The following is a 19,991-nucleotide window of genomic DNA, read 5'->3' on the forward strand; positions in this document are numbered from 1 at the left end:
TGGATACAGACACAAAGCTACAAGTATGACAGAGAATGCTGTAAATGCCCAAAGCACAAAACACACAGAGTTCAAAGGGCAAAGGGTTATAACATGCTATGATGGCCCTGTGGGACAGTAACCCTCCTAGACCCTTTCCTGTGCAACATTAGCTCTGCTCTATTGCTGTTCATGCCTTTCATCATTCTCTGCGCAATATCAACTCACCTATATTTTGTCTGCACTGAGAAACAAATCCTCTCTCTGTCACCCCCCTATGGAACGTTCGACACCTTTATAATGTTCCCCATCAGTAGGGTGAAGGAGGGGTCCTTCTTTAAATTGGGGCTGCAGGCATAAGCCATGATTGTACCTGGCAAATGGATTGTACGGTCACACTACCAAGGGATATGACGCTGGGATGTCACTGGCTCCTAATGGAGGAATCACCTGGGATTCTGCCCCTTCTCCCTTGTACCGGTTGTGCCTTCTCAACAGGTTTCCTACAGGTAGCTGACTCATAGCTTATAGATTCATGTTAATTTCTATTAAAAAGAAATTTTTACTGGGATTAGATATACTGGTTTTTTTTGGCTTGTGTGTGTGTGTCCTTAAGTCATTCAATTTACATTGAAATATTGAAGGTAGAACTTAACTTTTGGTCCTATAGTCTTTATATTTTTCAGTACAACAATGCCTCGTATAAATGACCTGAATTACTTCATTCTAATTTCTCTACTCATAAAATAAACAGGATATAACCTACTTAAACAAAAACCGATCACACAAATGCAAGACATCTTAATTTTTTTTCTTAGTTATTGTTATTTGGTAGGGGTGGGGTGGGAATGAAGGTACAGGGAAAAAGGGAAAAGCTGTGGGAGTATAGTACATATTCTCATGGACTCCTTTCAGGAACAGAGTGGAAGAATTTACAGAACATATCAAGCAAGTTGGAATTTAGCCAATGTGCCTTGCTCTCTCTTTATATCGGTGGGAAAATGTTCATTTTGAACACAAGTGCCTTATATGCTGACATTTTTCACTGCTGTGGAATATAGGAAATGTGCTTTGTTTGTCATTTTAAAAAGTTATAAATTCTGTGACCTTGAGACCTTCAGCACAAAGATGTAGAAAAGAGAGAGTGGGAACTCCCAAGTCCCCTGAAGTCACTTGCTCAGTCCTTTAGGGGCTGAGATGCCCTCTTTGTGTCTGGGGAAGATGGCAGCTGATGTTAGTAGCCCTTGATTTTTAAATGCGACCAATGGGATTTTTTTTTAAATCCCTGCATTCTCTTTGCAAAGCTTCCCAGGCTGTTTGGGGTTTTAGAAAAAGATGTTAAAACCAACAACTTTTTATTTGTTCAGAGTACTCTTAACGACAGCTTACCCGTGATCCACTTAAATCCTAAATGATAAAATTCATTCCTTTATGTGAATGTATTGCTAGCTCTCTTATGGGATGTGGGGTATAGGAGTTTAGGATAGAACTAGATGGAGCCCAAGATACCAGCTGTTACTTTGCTGGCTCTAAAAAGTCAACTGCTTTAGAGCCCAGAGGCATAGAATATAAGAGTTTGAGTCCCTGGAAACTTTGAGTAGTGTTTACTCACCTACGAGACAGGCACCCTTTTTTCCACAATATGTGGACAATGATAACAGATAAGAGTTGTTCAGTGCACCACGTAGTATGCACTGGGTTAATTTTTTTTATATCCTCTCATTTATACCTCACAAAAACTCTATAAGGAAGGCGTTATTATCCTTATTTCATGGATGAGGAAATAGAAACTTAAAGAGATTAAAAATCTTGCCCAAAGTCTCAGTTAAATAATTGGCTGCACCAGGAATTGGGTCCTCATCTATTTGACTCCAAAGCCTTGCCTTTCATGGGTTTACTTTCCCAAATAGTGATAAAAAGGAAAGTGAGCCCAATTCTCGCAAATGCTATCAATACTTTGTGTGATGTACTGGGGGACTGCACCTTCAAATAGTGCTAAACAATACGCTTTGCATTGCTTCTGCTTGTGGCATCCCTGGATTTCCTTTAGCCTTCCAAAGGGAGTTTACCTTAAGGGATATAAAGCAGTAAAATAAGCTGAATGTTTCTTTCTTTGGAGGGAGTGTTGAGTGGATATCAACTGGCAGTGAAGGGTTGCAGATGACCTTGTTCAAGGTTGGAACTTCTCCATCAGCAGTGGGCCACGGAAGATCCTATGGTTGGTATGGTTGACTGTGACCACTTCTTTTCTGGAAAAGCTTGACCTCAATCCATCCAGATTAGGAAAAGTCTACTTTCTGAGGGGATCTTAGAGAATCTCCTGTACTGCGGGAATCAGATATTTACCTACCTCGGCCAGGCACAGTGGCTCATGCCTGTAATTCCAACACTTTGGGAGGCCGAGGTAGGTGGATCACTTGAGGTCAGTAGTTCGAGACCAGCCTGGCCAACCTGGTGAAACCCCGTCTCTACAAAAATAGAAAAATTAGCCAGGTGTGGTGGTGCACGCGTATAGTCCCAGCTACTCGGGAGGCTGAGGCAGGAGAATCACTTGAACCTGGGAAGCAGAGATTGCAGTGAGCTGAGATTGCACCACTGCACTCCAATCTGGGCAACAGAGGGAGACTCTGTCTCAAACAACAACAACAAACAACACCAAAAACAGATATTTGCCTACCTCAAGACAGCTAAAAAATTGTAGCTCTATTTGTTGAAGGATGCTAAATAAAAAATATTCAGAATATTCAGAATATCAAGCTATGGATTCAGGCTGGCAGATTCTTTAAAAAGAAATTATCTCTTTCTGGGCCAATTTCATATTGAGGTTAAGTCAGATATGACCAATGAATGGTCTGTGATATCCATCTATCCTGTCTGGGCAGAGTGAGTACTTGAAATAACTAATTCTGGTTATGGGATTAAAGTTACTTTTATTTTTTAAAGAATATTTAAAAATCTTTTCTATATTTGGTATGTGTTATTTTAACAATTATTAAAATAGAAGTATTATTAAAGATTTACGGCCAGGCATGGTGGTTCACGCCGTAATCCCAGCACTTTGGGAGGCTCAGGCAGGTGGATCACTTGAGCTCAGGAGCTCGAGACCAGCCTGGCCAACACGGTGAAACCCTGTCTCTACTAAAAATAAAAAAAATTAGCCAGGTATGGTGGCGCATGCCTGAAATCCCAGCTACTCCAGAGGCTGAGGCAGGAGACTTGCTTGAACCCGGGAGGCAGAGGTTGCAGTGAGCTGAGATCACGCCACTGCACTCCAGCCTGGACGACACCGAGACACTGTCTCAAAAACAAGATTTACATCTTCTCGATTCAAAACTAAAACCTCTTTGCCATATATTGGAAGTGGTGTGTGTGTGAATGTGAGATTGTGAGATCTCCCATTGTGATTATCATTTAGAAATGTTTCATTCACTAATAAATTGTCACCTACAACCTGACATTCACTACTTCTAAGACACGGACCACTGTGTCCTTATCCCACGAGTTGAGAACCATTCTGCTTTTTATACATTTTATTTATATATCGATTGCATAGGTAGTACTTCCACTTCACTTGACATTCAGAAGGTACAAGAAGTTCCCTTCCTGGAAGCAAACAGTGTTATCAGTTTCTTATGTATTTTTCCAGAGACTTTTCTTGTTTATTTAAGCAAGCAACGCCGCCCCCGCCCGCCGCCCCCCGCCCCCCCGCCACACACACAGAGAGAGAGAGAGAGAGAGAGAGAGAGAGAGGCATGCAACAATTAGGGGTCAAAAGAAGAACAAAAAGACTGGAAATAAAGTGTATTTTGGCTTACTCTATGTTGGGCTGACCTAACTGCACTATCTTTTATCTTTTCCTTTGGGACTAGGACTTCTGACTTCTCACTCAGATTCTAATCTCTACCATTTTCTCCTCCCTTCCTCCCTCCCTCTTCCCTCTCTTTATCAGAGAGAAATAGCCACTCCTATTTATTTCTGATCTTATTTCTTCTTCCTCCTTCCCCTGCAATTGAATATTAGATGATAGAGTGGTACAGCAAGAGGCAAAACTGCAGAACAGATGGGGCAGAAGAGAAGGAGGGGGCAGGTTGACACGGCCTCCAGGAAGCCTGCCTAAGCACCTCCCAAGCTGTGCTCTGCAGCTCATAGACCATGGAACACGAATGTCCTTCAAGGAGGTGACTTTATGGCCTTTCGCCCTCCTACCTCTGTCGGGGCTCACAGACTTCCTCTTTCATGTCCCTGGCCCATGGCCCTGATGCATCATAGGTGTCCTGGGTGCCTTTGAACCTCCTCTCCATTTCACTCTTGGAAAAGGCATTCTGTAGCAATCAAAGGGAACCGGAAGCCAAAACCAGTGGCTGAGCGATCAGCCTGTTATTAATTTGTAGGATTATTAGTGACAGCAGGAATCACAGGGTTACAACTTTTTTCAAAAAGTAATTTGCCCTTCTCTCCCACAGCAGCTCGGTTTTAGTCTGAATTAAATGCTGTTCCTCCTACCCAGTTCCCCAGTGCAGTGAATCACAGACTCTGGGGAGGGAGGAAAGGGGGACCATGGCGACGATTTGGTCTGGTCCTCTCAATTCACAGGCCCACGCCACTCTCACTGATCTGATTTGAGACTTTTGTGCTTCGTGTCACTGTCAGGAAATGTATTTGGTTTTTCTTGAAAGAAAAAGTCCCCTGGACAAGGTCATCTGTCTGTTCCTGATGGGGTTTATCATTCAGCTTCAAATATAGTGACTCATAGTCACAGGTCGGATTAAGCCTACTCACTATCATTTATTAAAAAGGAGCTCCCACCCAGGGAGGCTGCCTGCCTCGTGTAAATCATGACCTCGGCGCCAGCCGAGTGCTGATGAAATCATTTCTAATGACAAGAACTCAAAAATAGCTCAGGCTTGCTGCTTCTGTGGGTTTTTGTTGTTGTTGTTGTTGTTTGTTTTGGTTCTTAATCAGTCCTTTGCTAATATTTCAGCCTTCAAATGAGGTACAGAACCTTTGGATATTGACCAAAATGTGCATGTTTCCCTCTCCTCCTGGAGATGGGCTAGATCTTCTAGAGCAGAGAAGGAGGATCCCCTTAACGGGGGGTGGAGGCTGACACCAGCATACGGCTTCGGAGCTGCCCTGTCTCTTCCACCTCCATGGTGGATGGAGTGTTCCAGTTGGATCAGCCGGCCATGTCCTGTCATGGATTAGACCTGCTGACCTCACCAGTAATACCTCAAGGGCAGATCCCCCAATCAGGATCTGGTCTTCTGGTTGGAGTTTCAGAATCCAGATATTCTGATTTAGGCAAAGAGAAACATAATCATCACAATGGTCAAAAGTCTCAAGAGGATATTATCAATTTAGAATAAGAAATGCAACCACAGGAGGACCAGCGGACAGTTCACTAACCAGCTCATCTTCTCCATGTAGACTTATATATGTGTGAAGCCAATTATAATTTTAGGAAGGGCCTTGGTAAAACTAGAATCAGAGGAAAAAGAGGTGGATTTAAAAATCTATATCCAGTTTTATTTACCCCTTCATTGTTCTCTAGTGTTTCCATGTGTGCGTAGCAGACTTGCTTAAGTAAAAACAAAACCAAAGAAGCTTTACAGGTTATCTGTCACCTATTTCTTTATTTACTATTTATTATTATTTTCAAATAGTAATAATAAACATGCCCATGCTAAAAAATTCAAATAGTACAAAGGGTATACAGTGAAAACAGAATCATACTTCCCCCTTTGTCTCCAGTTCTCCAATTCCTACCCGTAGTTCCTAATTTCTCATGCTTCATTACAGAGATATTCTATATGTGTGGAAACATACACGTGTGTCTGTTTCTTCCACTTGCATTTTATGTGTACATATGGCAATACTCTGCATACACTGTTATATGTCTTACTTTTTTCACTTGACATTATATCTTGGGCATCTTTCCACGATATCTTACTTTTTCCATTGTAGGGATGTACCATAATTTGATGGGCATGTCTGTGCTTACAATCTTTTGCTATTACAAAAAGTGCTGAAATGAATGAGATGATTTAAGGGATATTTTCAGCATGAGGCACTCTGATAAAATACCTATCCTTGCAATGGAATAGAGATCTCTTATGAATAGAACGGTCTTGTCACCTGGGCCCAGTGGCTTTCTTCCTGGATACTGATCAACACTGACATACTCTTGACTCTTGTTTTTAACACCACCTTCTCCACCTAGTCAGGTTTCACGTGTTTACCATTTCCCTTCCTTTGGGATATAACGTACTTAATGAGACTTTGTCTTTTTAGTTAGACTCATATTTTAGTAAGCATATATCTGAGACCATATCTAAGTTGCCAAGGTTATATTTTAGCTTTCCCAAAGCTGTTCAGCCATATTTTTACAGAAAATTGTGTTATTTTTAGGAATGTATTTTGTGTGTGTTTAACCAATATAACTCTGAGAAGATAACTTTATTCTGAAGGGCAAAGGTCTGTGTGCCTTCAGATTAATGTATGCTGTTACACTGAATTAAGCTGCCTTACTTTTATACCCATGGCATAGACCAGTAATTTGAAAAATCTGAATAACATCTCATCCCCCTTTGTTTTTTCCTGATGTTTATCAGTGACCAGTGGTCCAGGGAAGAACAGAACTGCCCTTTCAACATTGCTGGCCTTCTCTCTCTCTCTCTTTTTTTTTTTTTTTTAATAATTTCAATTTGGCTGGACATGGTGGTTCACACCTGTAATCCCAGCACTTTGGGAGGCCGAGATGGGCAGAACACTTGAGGTCAGGAGTTCGAGACCAGCCTGGCCAACATAGTGAAACCCCATCTCTACGAAAAATACAATTAGCCAGGCGTGGTGGCATGTGCCTGTAGTCCCAGCTACTTGGGAGGCTGAGGTAGAGAACTGCTTGAATCCAGGAGGCAGAGGCTGCAGTGAGCCAAGATCGTGCCACTGCACTCCAGCCTGGGTGACAGAGTGAGACTCTGTTTCAAATAATAATAATAATACTTCCAATTTTTACTTTAGATTCAGGGGGTACATGTGCAGATTTCTTACCTTGGTATATTGCATAATGCTGAGGTTTAGGGTATGAATGATCTCGTCACCCAGGTACTGAGCATAGTACCCAACAGCTTTACAACACTTATCCCCCTCCCTCCTTCTCCCCTCTAGTAGCCCCCAATGTCTATTGTTGCCATCTTTATGTCCATGAGTACACAATGTTTAGCTCCCACTTATAAGTGAGAACAAGTGGTATTTGGTTTTCTGTTCCTGCATTAATTCACTGAGGATAATGGCCTTTGGCTGCATCCATGTTGCTGGAAAGGACATGATTTTGTTCTTTTTTATGGCTGTGTAGTATTCTGTGGTGTATATGTACCACATTTCCTTTATCCAGTTCACCACTGGGGGGCACCTAGGTTGGCTCCATGTCTTTGCTATTGTGAATTGTGCTGTGATGAACATACGAGTGTATGTGTCTTTTTGGTAGAACAATTTCTATTCATTTGGGTATATACACAATAATGTGATTGCTGGGTTGAATGGTAGTTGAGAAATCTTCAAACTGCTTTCCACAGGGGCTGAACTAATTTACATTCCACCTCAGCACTGTATAAACATTTCTTTCTCCACAGCTTCGCCAGCATCTGTTGTTTTTTAACTTTTTAGTAATAGCCATTCTGAGTGGTGTGAGATGGTATCTCATTGTGGTTTTGATTTGCATTTTTCTGATGATTAGTGACGTTGATCATTTTTTCATGTTTGTTTGCTGCTTGTTTGTCTTCCTTTGAGAAGTGTCTGCTCATGTCTTTTGCCCACATTTAAATGGGGTTATTTGTTTTTTGCTTGTTGAATTGCTTAAGTTCCTTATAGACTCTGGATATTGGACCTTTGTTGGATGTATAGGTCAATATTGTTCTCTTTTTAATGTGTGACGTGTGTGTGTGTGTGTGTGTGTGTGTATGTACATATCAAACTTGTTGAGGTTTTGAGAAGATGGGTTTCTATAATGGCAATGCAAGTAACTTAAAAATAAATATTGGACATCTGTGTTTTCAGAAATCCTTCTGGCACATTGCTACCAGAAATTCCTTACTGACCACATCTCTGCAGATTCCAATCTCCCATAGCCTTTTTAGAGCCAACATTGCTTTCTTATGGCGCATTATAGCTGTGAATCCTACGTGTGTCCTGTCATATAGACAGCCTCTGCTATCTATCCTTAATGCTAGTGACCTTTTCTCTCCTTTCAAAAAGCTTTTGTTTTTTGTTGTTTTTAACAGAAAGGCTCTTGCTTTGTTGGTCAAGTCAGCCTAGGACTCCTGGGCTCAAATCCTTCCACCTCAGCCTCCCAGATAGTTGGGACTACAGGCATTTGCCACCATCCCAGAAAAGATTTTTAGAAAGAGTATAAATCTGAGTATTTGATACCCTGCAGAGAATACGAGTAGGACACAAAGGCCCTACAATGAACTATTATCTAGCAGTGCCTCTTAGATACTTGATTCTCAAGAGCCATGCCACTGAAAAATAAAATCCATTAGGGTAAGTTAACTGATGTAACAAATAGACCTCCGAGTGTATAATGGTTCTAGTGCATTCAAAATTTATTTCTTGCTCATATAACAAGTGGGTGAACAGTTCAGCAGGGTGACCCTCTTCCACATAATAATTCTGGGACCCAGGCTTTGCTGACCCTACTCTACACTTCATGACTTTCAAGCTTGCCTGGAGGTTACCTCTACTCCCATGTAGTTGGAAGGAGACAAAGATCATGGAGGAGTGTTGCATTGCCTGCTTCTAAGGGCCAGTCCTGCTCACATTCCATGGCCAGGACTCAGCCACATGGCCACCTAACTGCAAGGGATCCTGGGAAGTGTAGCCCCTGGCTGAGCTTCCACTTTGTGGCAAGAACTCTACACTGCAGAAGTGGAGCCTGGATATTTGTTGGACACATAGCTGTCATTGTCTTATGGCCACAATCATAATGTTTTTATATATCACCTTCTGAACACTTACATAGGAGGTGCTGTACTGTGTATAGATGTACTATCTAATTTAATTCTCACAGGTAGCTATTCATTGTGGATATTATTAATATGTTTTATAAATGATGACATTGAAACTAAGAGATTAAATCACTTGCCCAAGGGCATACATCTAGTAAATTTTGGAACTGAGATTCAAATCCTGGTCTATCTGATTCTAAAACCTAATGATCTTAACTTTTACATTTATATTGTCTAGGTAGAACTGGCATGTTTATGCCTTTAATGGCTAGAACAGAATAAAGGGACAAGCCCCAGTGTTCTCCATTAGTTTTCTTAGTTTCTTTTCTAGCAGGACCAAGCAGGAGGCTCGAGGTTCTGAGTAATCTCAATGGCTTGTTTTCTTTCTCTCTCTCTTCCTTTCTTTTTCTCCCTTTCCTTTCCTTTCCTCTCCTTTCCTCCCCTTCTCCCCTTCTCCCCTTCTCCCTTTCTCCCTTCCCTTCCCTTCCCTTCCCTTCCCTTCCCTTCCCTTCCCTTCCCTTCCCATCACTCTGTTGCCCAGGCTGGAGTATAGTGGCATGATCATAGTTCACTGCAGCCTTGACCTCCTGGGCTCAGGTGATTCTCCCACCTCAGCCTCCTGTGTAGCTGGGCCTGCACTAGCTACATCCAGGTAATTTTTTTGTATTTTTTTGTAGAGACAAAGGTTTTACCATGTTGCCCAGGCTGGTCTCAAACTTCTGGGCTCAAGTGGTCCACCTGCCTCAGCCTCCCAAAGTGCTGGGTGAGCCACTGCCCCTGGCCATCTCAATGGGTTTCACACTATTCTTCACCTCTTCTGCCTTCATTGTCTAGAACAAGCTTGTCCAACCTGTGGCCTGTGGGCCACACATGGCCAAGGATATCTTTGAATGTGGCCCAACACAAATACATAAGCTTTCTTAAAACATCGTGAGATTATTTTGCAATTTCTTTTTATAGCTCATTGGTTATCGTTAGCCTTAGTGTATTTTATGTGTGGCCCAAGACAATTCTTCCAGTGTGGCCCAGGGAAGCCAAAAAATTGGATACCCCTGGTCTAGAATCTAGATTAGTTTCAATTATTTGCCAGTATTCAATTACCATTCATATAAAGATGACTACTAAATAATTATCTTCTGCCCAAATGTTTCATCTTAGCTTAGATTCATAGTTCTAACTGCCTACTCAACAGCTTCATGGACACCTTCAATTCATTGCATCCTCAAACTGAAGGCATGCTCTTCCCACCTGAAGATCCATTCATTTCTTAGGTTTGTCAGTCAATAGCCTACTGGCTTTCATTAACTTCCCAAGGTGTAGGTGTCAGACATTTGTTTCTTCATTACCGCTCACTTCCTAAAGAGTACGTAGATTCACAGCTATTTTGCATGTTTTCTAGACGGTCCAAATGTCATCACTATCGCCTAGAAGGTTGAGGGACTATTTTGAGATGGTGATGATGATTATCTCAAGAAAACGCACTCCATGTGCAGGCCTCTTCTCTTCTCACTTTCTGTTTGACACTGAGGAAGTTGGTGAGAGCTTCTAAATCACGCAAATCCTTAGGCACACAGGCGTGGCCTGAGTCATGTTTGCCCACTCACGGAGACACACTGATGCCTGTGAAAATGATCATGTAGGTCACAGGCAAACATCCTGCTACCTCAAGTCCCTCTGTCCAGCCTATGGACTGGAAAAGCCTCTGGAAACCTTTTCTCTCTGTCTTCCCCACATTCCTCACCTTTGGGCTGATTTTAATGCAGAAAAGACCATAACAAATCAGAGTTCCTTCTCTGCTCAGGGACTCCTGAGAATCTGGAGGAAGGTGTTGCTTGTCCTTAGTAAAAAGCTCAGCCTATGGAAACACAGGGGCCTCTCCGAGATACTTTGTCTCCAAAGAAAACCGAAGCTATTGTTTATAGACTTTGGAGTTTATTGTTAGAAAAAGGCTGGAAGATAAACTGTGCCAAGTACTAAATTAAAAAAGAAACAAATGCCGAGACACCCCTGAGTAAGGATGAATGTGAAAGTGGCAATTGATGCTCAGAGAATTTAAATTCTCATTTTCAGCAATCCTTTCTTCTTTGTCAAAAATAATTTGTTATGAAATGTGAAAGAAATATTTATGGCTGTTTGGTTTTCCCCTCTCATATGCCATTTTGCTAATCTTTACAAAAATATTGTAAGGTAGGTAATATATATACATATTTCACAGATTAGAGGACTAACCTCAGAGAGGCTAATTGACAAGCCAAGTCACTTAAATGAAGGTATTTTTCTCTCCACATTTTTATATCTGTAGCCACAGATCTAGGGTAAAGGACTAGGTCTGCTTTGTGCAGTACTGATGAGCTGGTACAATTCCTGGTACAAAGTAGGGGCTCAGTAAATGCTTGCTGCATAAAAGAATGAATGAAACTGTAAAATGATTATAACAATTGTCTCTTCCACCTAATAGTGGCATAAATTGGGATGAGCTAGGTCATAATGTGGAAAAAGCAACCCCAAAGTTTCAGCAGTTCAAAACACAGGTCTGTTTCTTGTATTCTTACTTGATGTCCATCAAAGGTTGGCGGGGGAGGGGGATGCGGGGGCGGGGGCTCCACTTCACTCCTCACAGTTACTCAAAGGCCGGGGCTGATGAAGCTGTTCCTATCTCGAATGTTGCTACTTATGTGTAATGAAACCATTTAAAGTGGAAGTCACCCACTTCTCTTTCGTCACAACTCATTGACCAGAACTATCCCCATGGCCCCAACTAACTACAAGGGAGCCAGAAAGTGCAATTGTATCACGTGCCTGGTAAAGGGTAGATCCAGAAATATTTGGCAGAGGGCACTAATGACATCCATAGGACATAGAGGTCAAATGAAATGATTTATATAAAAATGATTTTTATCACGAGAGGCAGTTAGTGGTGACTGGTGATTATTAGGCTTAGCATGGCCTCAAGTCATTGTGTTTGCTCCTACATTAGGCTTCTCATCAGGAATTTATCTTGGGCAATGATAGAAAGGCCCCGGGACCTTGTCAGAAGGAATATCATGTCTGATCCTGATTCTTTTACACGTGTCAGGATGGTTTTCTTTCTAGATGCAATTTTTACAGCCCCCTAGTCATGGGAGTTTCTCAACCACACATAGGTTGGTTAGGAAGCTACTCTCTGATCAAGAGGATGAATGCCTCAAGAAGGCTCATCACCCTAGTATGCTTGGATCCATCCTATTCTTAAGTGGTGAATAATATTGTCCCAATTCCTTTCTTTGCCAAAACACCACAGACTCATCTGGTTTGAAGAGTTGAACTGCAGCGGTTGAAGACCAGACAGTAGAGTTTCAAGCTCTGCTGGGATGATTACTAGGTGGGGATCTGTGGATAGTGGAGAAAAGTTCTTACTCATTTTCATCATTGAGTATGGGCCAGTGGCATAGGTCAGCTGGAATTTGACCAGATAAGGTTCCCATGTATCCTTTTTGGCAGATGTAAGTTTCTGGGAAATAAACCAAATGGAATCCATAAGTTCATTTCCTAACTCTGTAAAGTGCTGAATGCTTACAAGAGTAGAAAATAAACATATTCATTCAATGCACAATGAAATTATTTTCAGTCATCTTGTCTTTGTAGAATTAAAGTGTTAGAAGCTATTTGCCACTACATGAAAGTCTCATCCAATCTTCTTTATAAAAGACAGTAAACAGACTGGAATGCCCAATTCATATCTTAGTTCTATGAGCCACAAGGAGGTACCTACTTCGGGTTGAAAGATAGAGATGAAAATCAAATTTAAGCATAACTCAGTTCCTACAGATATTAATCATTGGTTGTGTCTGGAAGTGTGAAGGGAATTTCCCTCTTCCAGGCATCTCAGGGATATGTGGGGTTGGGGGTGGATTGTGGGGTGAGATGATTAGAAATGGTATTGGATTCTGTATAGCCCTATAGACGGGGGTCATTTGGGGCTATTATCTTGGCTTCTTCCTCTGTGTATATCAACTCTAAAATAATGAATATGTCCTCTCTTATAGTCAGGAGTGAAGCTTATCACACAGCTTGTATAGACTCAGGGGACTTTGAAGCTATTTCTGATTTTCTTATCTACACACTGAGAGATCAACTATCTCTAGAAGGTCTAATAGTACAGTAACCAAGAGCATGGCCTTTTGAGTAAGAAAGATCCACTTATTACCTGTGTGACCTTAGTGAAGTTGTTCAGTATCTGTGAGGCTCAGTTTCTGAATTTGGAAAGTAAGAAAAATAACAGAACTCACCTTTAAGGGAATGTCTATGAAGATAAAATAAGATTATATATGTAAAGGACTCAGCACAGTACCTAGCACATAGCAAGCCCTTGATATTTTAAAAATTTCTAAGTTGGGCTGAGTGTGAAGGCACCCCACCGTTGTATTAATTTGTTGGCTTTTTGACATATGTGTAGGGTGACTAGATGCACATTTAGCATTAAATAATCACTTCAATTTATTCCTTGTGTCTTGGAGTACAGATGGGATAGTGAGGAATGCAACCAGTCTCTATTCCAGGTGCCACGCAAAATTACATGTATTACTTCTGAATGTGGTTAAACATAGACCTGCTAAACAGGCAACACTTATCTATGATGTGAGAAGTCAGGATAATGGTTTCCTTGTGTGCAAGGTGGTCACTGGAAGGGTCACATGGGGTACTTCTAATGTGCTAGTAATGTTCTGTTTTTTTTAGTCTGGGACTAATTACACAGATGTTTCATTTTTGAAAAATTCATTAGGGCTGGCCATAGTGGCTCATGCCTTTAATCCAAGCACTTCGGGGAGCTGAGGTGAGAGGATTGCTTGAGACTAGGAGTTTGAGACCCACCTGGGCAATGTATCAAGACCCCATCTCTACAAAAATAAAATAAAATAAAATTAGCCAGGTGTGGTGGCCCACACCTGTAGTCCCAGCTAAGGAGGGAGGATGATTGAACTCAGCAGCTGGAGGTTGCAATGAGCTATGAGCATGCCACTGCACTCCAGCCTAGGTGACAGAGTAAGGTGCTAGCTCAAAAATAAATACATTTTAAAAATTTAAAAATGTTAAAAATTATTTGAGCTGTATACTTCTTTTTTGAGGGGAGGGAGGAGAAGGAGTGTTGCTGTGTCACCCAGTCTGGAGTGCAGTGGTGTAATCATGGTTCACTGCAACCTCTGCTTTCCCAGTTCAAGCAATTCTCCTGCCTCAACCTCCTGAGTAGCTGGGATTACAGGTGCACACCACCACACCCAGCCAATTTTTATATTTTAAGTAGAGATGGGGTTTTACTATGTTGGCCAGGCTGGTCTTGAACTCCTTACCTTAAGTGATCCACCCACTTCAGTCTCCCAAAGTGCAGGTATTATAGAAGTGAGCCACCACGCCCAACCTCATTGATACTTCTGATATGTACATTTTTCTCTGCTGATATTATATTTCAATACAAAGTTAACTCAATGAAGCTTCTAGGTCATCAATCTAATCTGGCAAGATAATCAACCAAGATTTACAATACTGCTCCAAGGAAATAGAGTCCATACTTAATTCCTTCTGTCTCTCTCTTTCTTTTTTCTCAGATAATGTCCACCTAGTATAAGTGGGAAGAAAGAAAGCAAAACATTTCTGACATTTGAATTTTATGTTCCTCTATTTTATTCAGTGGTTATAAATTTAAATTTCATTTTGTCTGAGATTCATATCTCTACTCCAATTTCCTTTTGCTTTACATTTGCCTAGTATTGCTTTGCTTACCACCTTTCAAATATAAATTTTAAATAATAATCATAATAAAACAGTCACAAATCAATGAAATAATGCTGTATGTACTATTTATCTTTGAAATTAGAATATTGACAAGACATTCGAAGTTCTCTGTATGTCCTTTTCTGATTTAATCTTTGTCTCTCCAACTTTTCTTTTCTTTCTTTCTTTTTTTTTTCGAGATAGGGTCTTGCTGTATTGCCCAGGCTGGAGTGTAGTGGCATGATCATAGCTCACTGCAGCCTTGACCTTCCAGGCTCAAATGATCCTCCCATTTCAGCTTCTTGAGTAGCTGGGACTACAGGCATATGCCACCATGCTTGGCTAATTTTTGTATTTTTTGTAGAGAAGAGGTCTCACAATGTTGTTCAGGCTCATCTTGAACTCTGGGCTCAAGCAATCTGCCCACCTTTGCCTCCCAAATTGCTGGGATTACAGTCATAAGCCATCATGCCTGACCCCACTTTTCTTTATGTATATGTATACACCACTAAATAATACAGATAAACCCAACTTGTGAGAATTCAAGTTTAATGATTTTTCAACTTTGTGATGATGTGAGAGCCATATGCATTCAGTAGAAAGCGCAATAGCATCCTTGAGATGCTGAGCAGGAGCAGTGAGCCGCAGCGCCTACAGCTCCTAGTCAGCCACATGACCACAGGGGGGACAACTGACACTACAGTGTGCAGTGATGCCAGATGATTTTGCCCATAGTGTTCTGAGCACATTCAAGGTAGTCTAACCTAAGCTATGATGTTCCATATGTTAGTTGTATTAAATGCATTTTCTGTTTACAATAGGGTTATCAGTATGTAACCTCATTGTACACTGAGGAACATCTGTATATTATTCTGTCTTTTTTTCCTGATTTAAAATTTTATGGTTTAACTACATTAGATACAGAAGTCCCTCTTTTTCTGAGGTTTCACTTTCTGCAGTTTCAGTTGCCTGTGGTTAACTGTGATCCAAAAATATTATGTACAAGAAGATATTTTGAGAAAGAGAGAGAGGGAAAGCACATTCACACAACTTTTATTATAATATATTGTTAAAATTGTTCTATTTTATTACTAGTTATTGTTAATCTCTTACTGTGCCTAATTGTTCTATTTTATTATTAGTTATTGTTAATCTTTTACTGTGCCTAATTTATAACCTGAATTTATCATAGGTATGTTATGGATAGAAAAAAACATAGTATATATAGGGTTCCATACTATCTATAGTTTATGACATCCACTGGGGGTCTTGGAACATATCTCCCTCAGATAAGGGGGGACCACTGTAATGTCAAGTGTTTTTTTAAGGAGTTTTACCAATTTACAATCTTTCCAGCAGTGTTAAGAGTTTCTGTTGCTTCCCATTTCTGCAAATAGTTAATATTGTCAATTTCTTAATTTTTCCCAAGTTGTAAAATTTGCTACATTGTAAACTGATAGCCTATTGTCATTTTAATTTGCTTTTTACTAATTATCAAGGTAGTTTATTTATTTATTTATTTATTTTTTGAGACGGAGTCTTGCACTGTCGCCAGGGCTGGGGTGCAGTGGCACAATCTTGGCTCACTGCAACCTCCGCCTTCCAGGTTCAAGCAATTCTCCTGCCTCAGCCTCCCAAGTAGCTGGGATCACAGGCGCCCACGACCATGCCTGGCTAATTTTTTGTATTTTTAGTAGAGATGGGATTTCACTATGTTGGCCAGGCTGGTCTTGAACGCCTGACCTCATGATCCACCCACCTTGGCCTCCCAAAGTGCTGGGATTACAGGCGTGAGCCACCACGCCCAGCCATCAAGGTAGTTTAGAATTTTTTCACCCAAATGTTTATTTGCTATTAGTGCTTTGTTTTCTGCTAAGTGTTTACAGGTTCTTTATCGGATTTTATTTGGGTTTGTGTGTATTTTTCTTATTGAATGTATGAACAATGTATATATTATAGATAAAAGATCTGTTGTTTTTTATATGGGCTACCAATGTCTTCTCTAAGTTCTTGGCTTGTCTTTTTCCTTTCCTTGTGGTGTTTAATTTTTAATTTTAATTTTTATAATAAAATCGTTTATAAGTAAAAATCTAATAAAGACTAAACTAATTTTTTGAAAGGGTACATCAAAGTTGGAGGACTTACATTACCTAATTTTAAGACAATATAAAGTTGTAATAATAAGTAACTTAGTGAGGCATTAGTATTCAGACGGACATAAAGATAAATGTGACAGAAGAGAGAGTCTGGAAGTAGATCCACACATACATAGTCAACAGATTTCCAGCAGAGTTGTCAGAGGTGTTTGAACCAGAGCAACTCCATCTTGAATATGGGCTGGGTAAAATAAGGCTGAGACCTACTGGGCTGCTTTCCCAGATGGTTAAGGCATTCTAGGTCACAGGATGAGATAGGAGGTCAGCACAAGATACAGGTCATAAAGGCCCTGCTGATAAAACAGGCTGCAGTAAAGAAGCCAGCTAAAACCCATCCAAACTACGATGGTGACAAGAGTGACCTCTGGTCATCCTCACTGCTACACTCCCACCAGTGCCATGACAGTTTACAAATGCTCAATATGGTCTAAAAAGGGGAGAAATGAATAATCCATCCTATATTTAGGATATAATCAAGAAATAATCATAAAAATGGGCAACCAGCAGCCCTTGGGGCTGCTCTGCCTATGGAGTGACCATTGTTTATTCCTTTACTTTCCTAATAAACTTACCTTCATTTTACTCTATGGACTCACTCTGAATTCCTTCTTGTGTGAGATCCAAAAACTCTCTCTTGGGATCTAGATTGGGATCCCTTTCCAGTAACAGAGTTGCCAAGGCAATTCAATGAAGAAGTGATAATCTTTTGAACGAATAGGGCTGGAACAACTGGATTTTCATATGCCAAAAAAACAAAAACAAAAGCACAAAAAACAAACAGCCCTGACCCTTACCTCACACTGTATTACAAAATTTAACTTAAAATGAATCATAGGCCTAAATATAAAAGCTAAAGTTATAAAACTACTAGAAGAAAACAGAAAATTTTCGTGACAGTGAATTAGTAAAAAATGTCTTGGGTAGGACACAAAAATAGTACAAAGCATGAATGAAAAAAATGATAAATTTAACTTCATCAATATTATAAACTGTTTTTCAAAAGACACTTGTAAAAGAATTTAAAAAGCCAAGAACTGGATGAAATTATTTGCAGAATATATATATGATAAAGGACTTGTATCCAGAATACATAGAGACTTTTACAATTCAATTATAAGAAATTACACAACCCCATTAACAAATGAAGATAAGGTTTAAGAAACACTTCACCATGGAAAATAGCATGTGAAAAGATACTCAATACCATTAGACATTAGGAAAATGTAAATTGAAACCACAGTGAGATATGACTACACACCCACATTCTAGTGTAACATTCTAGGCTAACATTAGAAAGATTGATTTTATCAAGTGTTGGCAAGGATGTGAATTTACCTGAACTCTTGTGCTTTGCTTTACTGGTGGGAATACAAAATGGTGCAGCCATTTTGAAAAGGAGCTTGGTAATTTCTTTAAAGTTAAACATACACTTATCATATGACTTAGCAAATCCACTCCTAAGTATTTACCCAAGATATATACAACATATGCCTACCATGAAACCTGTATGCAAAAGTTTTTTGCAGCTTTATTTGTAATGGATCCAAATTGGAAACAATGCAAATGTACTTCAACTGGTAAAAAAAAATTGTACGTCTGTATGATGAAATACACTCAGAAATTAAAAAAAAGAATGAACTACTGATACACATAGCAATACGGGTGAATCTCAAAACACGCTAAGTGGCAAAGAAGGCAGACATAAAAGGCTATGTATTGGATGATTCCATTTATATGACATTCTAAAAAAGGTTACAGGGAAGAATCACATCAGTGAGTGTAGGAACTGGGAACTGGGGGGAGGGATTAACTGCAAAGGGGCACTAGGAATCATTTTGAGGTCATGGAAATTTTTATATCTTGTTGTGATTGTGGCTACATGACTGCATATGTAATCAAAACTCACTAAAATGTACACTTAAAAAAGGTTGTTTATTGTATGTAAATTATAAGCAAATTATACTGTATACAAATTCAGTAAATCTGATTAGTTTTTAAAAGAGTCAAGTAGTTCTACAAGCCTTTCTTTGTATAACAGTGGACTCACAAAGGCCCATCTATTCTTCTAAGAGAAAGGGATTTCTTGGGGGAATCCCCTTCAATTCTTTTAGCCACAACTTATAGTATCTCTATATCACAATATTATATTCCTGGCTTTTTCAGTTGTGAGCATTTATCAATTGATCTTCCACTATGTGCGACGAGAATTTAGCACTCCTTCAACTCCCATCTACCCATCAAACACACATATCCTTCCTGCCCCACCCTCCCTTATTATTGTTTTTTCTTCAGGTGGCCAATGATCATTTTCAATTTCACTGGCCTGTGTGCCCATGATTTAATCTCATCCTTCTCTTTCTGGCTGTCTGGCCTCCCAGGTAAGCAGTTATTTACTCTCTGGGACACAGGTTTGGCTTATAGAATAGCTCTAGTGGTAAAAAAAAAAAAAAAAATCCACAGGCTATGAAAGCAAAAGTGTCTTTATCAGTGTTCGTTGAATTGGTAATAAACCTACAGACAGGGATTTGTGTATCTCACTCTATTACTGTTGTCCTCTGAACAGACTGAAGCAGTAACACAATTTTTGTCTGAACTGCTATTCTGAATTTTCATTTCTAGAAACAATCCTTCCCAGAAAAACTAATCTCTCCTGGAGGCTGAGGTGGGAGGATTGCTTGAGGCCAGGTGTATTAGTGTGTTCTCACATGGCTAATAAAGACATACCTGAGACTGGGTAATTTATAAACAAAAAGGGGTTTAATGGACTCACATTTCCACATAGCTGGGGAGACCTCACAATCATGGCAGAAGGTGAAGGAGTAGCAAAGCCACGTCTTACATGGCGGCAGGCAAGAGAGCATGTGCAGGTGGGGAACTCCCCATTATAAAATCACCAGCTCTCATGAGACTTATTCACTATCATGAAAACAGCACAGGAAACACCACCCCAATGATTCAATCCCACCAGGTCCCTCCCAGGACACGTGGGGATTATGGGAGCTAAAATTCAAGGTGAGATTTGGGTGGAGACATAGCTAAACCATATCACCCGGAATTTGAGACCAGCCTGGGCAACATAGTGAGATCCTCTCTCTCCAAAAAA

At 40.2% G+C, this 19,991-nt stretch overlaps 3 annotated features.

Annotated features, from left to right (window-relative positions):
* Positions 10,240 to 10,319: an enhancer, noted in NCBI's record as "active region_27190". NCBI's record gives its function as "activates an Ori minimal core promoter by ATAC-STARR-seq in GM12878 lymphoblastoid cells {active_cell/tissue: GM12878}" and the evidence as "EXISTENCE:reporter gene assay evidence [ECO:0000049][PMID:35858748]".
* Positions 10,340 to 10,649: an enhancer, noted in NCBI's record as "active region_27191". NCBI's record gives its function as "activates an Ori minimal core promoter by ATAC-STARR-seq in GM12878 lymphoblastoid cells {active_cell/tissue: GM12878}" and the evidence as "EXISTENCE:reporter gene assay evidence [ECO:0000049][PMID:35858748]".
* Positions 10,680 to 10,749: an enhancer, noted in NCBI's record as "active region_27192". NCBI's record gives its function as "activates an Ori minimal core promoter by ATAC-STARR-seq in GM12878 lymphoblastoid cells {active_cell/tissue: GM12878}" and the evidence as "EXISTENCE:reporter gene assay evidence [ECO:0000049][PMID:35858748]".

The sequence above is a fragment of the Homo sapiens genome, chromosome 8 (assembly GCF_000001405.40).
Source record: "Homo sapiens chromosome 8, GRCh38.p14 Primary Assembly".
Taxonomy (NCBI): Eukaryota; Metazoa; Chordata; class Mammalia; order Primates; family Hominidae; genus Homo; species Homo sapiens.